Raw genomic sequence first — 4268 nt, 5'->3', positions numbered from 1 at the left:
GCAGAGGTTGCAGTGAGCTGAGATCACGCCACTGGACTCCAGACTAGGTGACATAGGGACTCCATCTCAAAAAAGAAAAGAGGACGGTAACTATTTAACCTCACCTCTCCAGGTAGAGAGAGAAATTGGGGGAGGGGAGGGCAGGGCATAGAGGCAGGAAGGAGGGAAAGGAAGAATTAGGTTAACTCAACCCCTTTCCATGGGCAGATATCCCCTCTCCATGACCAGATGTCTGTTTCCTTCAGGGGAGAAGAGAACCAACTTAAAAACTGGATGTAAATTAGTGGACCATCAAAAAAGAAATTCTATCCTGGAAAAAAAAAGCTCTAATTAATTTTATTTTCTTCAATTCTCCAAAGGTGAACAAGTTATAGGTGACAATAAAAAGGCTCATGATGGAGAAGTCCAATCTGTCGGCTTCTCATTGCCAATTTCTATTCTCTGACCTAAAGGGATAAACGTAGTTGGGTGTGGTGACTCTCATCTGTGACCCCAGCACTTTGGGAGGCCAAGGCAGGCAGATTGCTTGAGCCCAGGAATTCGAGACCAACCTGGGAAATATGGTAAAACCCTGTTTCCACAAAAAATACAGAAAATCAGCCAGGCGTGGTGGCACACACCTGTATTCCCAGCTACCCGGGAGGCTGAGGTGGGAGGATCACCTGAGCCCAGGAGGTTGAGGCTGTAGTGAACTGTGATTGCGCCACTGCATTCCAGCCTGGGTGACAAAACCAGACCTTGTCGCAAAAAAATTAATTAATTTTTAAACTAATCTTTAATCAAAAAAATTAACTAATTAAAAATAAAGTGAGAAATGTCAGTTTTCTTCTCCACCTATCATTTGCTAAAACTTTCAGAGTTTGTTGTCTTCAAAATTTCAAGCTGTCCTGGCCTAAAGATGAGTCCCTTTAAAATCTAAAGAGGAAAAACATCTACTTCCACCCTATGAAATGCTACCTGTAGACTACACTGGAGAAATTTTCCTTTGTTTTATTATTAATAATTTTTATACAAATATAAACATGAAATGACTTTTTTGTCAAATAGTTATTTTCACTGAAAAGAAATGGAAAGCAAATACTTCAAACAAAACATGTGATACTTTTTTTTTTTTTAGAAGACTAAGTAAACTATAGAAGCCCCTCAGGCCCTGCAGGTTTCCAAATTTAATGGCTAAATACATCTAGAGTCATATACATATGGCTAAAAATATCTAGGTATTGTGCATGTACGTGTAAACCTTGAAGTGTCGTTCATATCAGAAATAGTGTAACAATAAAAAGATGAATGCCAAAATATCATCCTCAGAATTACTCATCTATAAGTAGGTTCGATGTGAAACTAAATAATTTTGTTTTCTCATAAAGGAAATCCCAAAGAGGAAAATAGCAGAAGACAGAGATTATGCAAAGGAACTATCTACGTTGTTTCTCTCTGAAACAGAAATGCTTTCTTTGGTCATTTTTAACAGAATTGGTACTTTGTGCAAGTATTCAGATATCAGAATTAACCAGATTTGCCAAGGCTCCAATATCATATTTTGCTTTGAAGACCAGTTCTGGGTGAGGTGTTCTTGCACCCACTCATTTCCTAAAAGACATTTTTTTTCCATTTCACTCCCGTCATTTTTAACTGAATAAATTCCTGTTTCAACTGTGACGCTTCTCATTGCTCTTAGTGTGGCGCTGAGCCCCTCCCGTGGCCTCCCTGCTCTGGGGGTCTGGCCCACACCTCCGGTGCCTCCTCCAGACCCCTCCCCAGCTCCTCACCCAGGCCCCTGCCCCTCTCGCTCACAGCCAGCCATCGCCTGGAAAGGAAACCGGGGGGTGTGTTTTTTAGAATAAATTTGTATTAAGAGCCCTATGACTTTTTTTTTAGAATTGGAACCAATTTTAATTTGTCTTACTGTTCACATGTTCCACTGAAGCGATCGCAGCTCTCTCGCCTGGTCTCAGTATTTGTAAACGTAACAGCAAAGGCATATGGGGTTGAGTAAAACCACGTAGCTGCCCCCGTGTTCCCGCCTGGGAGTTCTGTCTGGAGACTTCGTCTGGGTATTCACAGCAGCGTAGGTGGCAGGTAGTTACAGCTCAAAGGTGTTGGAGCCTTTGTTGCCTCAGACCGTCCTGCTGATCCCGTCAGGAGCCCTGTCTGTTTCTACCGTGTTTAACCAAAGTCTAAAGCGCCCACGAGGCCGAGGCCCCTGTCCTGAAGGCGCCCCCGGTGGAAGCTGCACGTCGTCTTTCGGTCTGAGGGTCCCAGACTTCCCATGAGAGAGGACAGGCAGAGGCGCGGCTCTCGGGGGCCCACCCAGATTCAGACGGGAAAGAAGAGGGGCTGGAAGGAGGTAACTTCCCCGCAAAAAACGCACGCCGGTCCCCTCACACCAGGAGGAATGGCAGGAAGGTGCTGAGAGTTGGCAAGTTTCAATTTTCCAAAGCAGCTATTTCAATAATTCTGTTGATGGCGATTGAGAGTCCTCAGTTCTTGTCTCCTTCGTTTAAAAACATTTAAAACCAGAGAGACACAGCAGTAGAGAAAGGGTAGGAGGCAGCTTATTGCAAGGGAGAAAGGACACTGATAGCTAAGTGTAAAAGGGAAAGGACCCCGAATAAGTCGGAGCGGCGGATTGAGAGGTGAGACAGCAAACAGGGGAGGCTCCCTTCACGGGGGTCCTCCGGGATTCTTCATAAGCAGGTGGGAAGCAGCATGGCTGGTGAACATGTTCTGGGTGATCCTCTGGCTGCACAGGCACAGCAGCTGCCCCGGCTTGTTCATAAGTTGCATGTCTCATTAGCATCTTTTGATTGTCTTTTTTTTTTTTTTTTTTTTTTTTTTTTTGAGACAGTCTCACTCCTGAGACTCCCAGGCCGGAGTGCAATGGCGCTATCTCGGTTCACTGCAACCTCCGCCTCCTGGGTTCCAGTGATTCTCCTACCTCAGCCTCCTGAACAGCTGAGGTTGCAGGCACCGGCCACCATGCTCGGCTAATTTTTGTATTTTCAGTAGAGACGGGGTTTCACCATGTTGGTCAGGCTGGTCTCGAACTCCTGACCTTAAGTGATCCACCCACCTCGGCCTCCCAAAGTGCTGGGATTACAGGCATAAGCCAAGGCACTCGGCCATCTCATTAGCATCTTAAATCTCCACACAGGAGTGTGTTTTTTACTATTCTAATGAGCAAAGGGTCAGCCTGAGGACAGGTAAAATTAAAAGGAGCCCACTCCCTACAGGGGAAATTCCTTATTGGAGGTAGCTGTGCTTGAATGAGCTGGGCTACAACGCAAGGCTGCAGCTAATGGTGTTGACGGTGTGGTCGCCCAGGTGGCTGGACCCGAGGACATAGTTACTTCCTTGACTACCTATGGAGAGGAGAGCACAGGGACTCCTGACCCAGAGCAGCCTCAGGGACACGGGAAAGCAGCTCAGGAAGGCATCGCTCTCCCCAGCAGGAGGCAGGCAGAAGCAGCCCACACCCCACAGCCACGGTGAGAGGAGAAAGCCAGCCAACCTGTCATCCAGGACTCCAGGGAAGAGCCAGGGCAGACTCTGGCTGCCACGCAGGGAATGTATGTCCCCTCCGCTCCCTGGATGTGTGAAGAGGAAAAGAGAGTTCCCTGCAACACAGGAAATCAGAACCTCCAAGTGCCTGTTCTCTGCTTTGAGGTCTCTCCACACAGAATGAGCACAGCATATCACAGCCGATCAAGACCCAACCATCTCCGGTGCACCAGAATTTAAGGCTAAAACAGGATTGAGGCCAGGCGTGGTGGTTCACGCCTGTAATCCCCAGCACTTTGGGAGGCAGAGGGAGTGGATCACTTGAGGTCAGGAGTTCGAGACCAGCCTGGCCAACATGGTGAAACCCCATCTCTACTAAAAATACAAAAATTAGCGGGGCGAGGGCACCTGTAGTCACAGCTACTTGGGAGGCTGAGGCATGAGAATTGCTTGAACCCCAGAGGCAGAGGTTGCAGTGATGCAGTGAGCCAAGATCATGCCACTGCACTCCAGCCTGGGCGATAGAGCTAAAATTCAGTCTAAAAAAAAAAAAAAAAAAAAAAAAAAAAAAAAAAAAAAAAAGAAAGAAAAAACAGGATTGAGAAGCTCCATCCTATGGTAAAAACTAGGACTGAAGAAACAAATCTGGCCCAGCAGTCTGATTGATGAATGGATGAATGAATTGTAGTTCAGCTTGGGAGACTCAGTAGTTAACATATGTCAGCATTTATTGGTGAGAAGGAAATTATGGGGACAGGATGTAAGAT

General features: G+C 46.4%; 1 annotated feature.

The window, feature by feature from the left end:
• Positions 3515-4015: an enhancer, noted in NCBI's record as "H3K4me1 hESC enhancer chr6:164286848-164287348 (GRCh37/hg19 assembly coordinates)". NCBI's record gives its function as "activates a minimal SCP1, AML or CMV promoter by ChIP-STARR-seq in naive H9 embryonic stem cells {active_cell/tissue: H9 hESC(naive)}" and the evidence as "EXISTENCE:reporter gene assay evidence [ECO:0000049][PMID:30033119]".

This window comes from Homo sapiens, chromosome 6, assembly GCF_000001405.40.
Source record: "Homo sapiens chromosome 6, GRCh38.p14 Primary Assembly".
Classification (NCBI taxonomy): domain Eukaryota; kingdom Metazoa; phylum Chordata; class Mammalia; order Primates; family Hominidae; genus Homo; species Homo sapiens.
The sequence above is the reverse complement of the archived record's forward strand: the minus strand, read 5'-3'. Positions and strand labels throughout refer to the sequence as shown.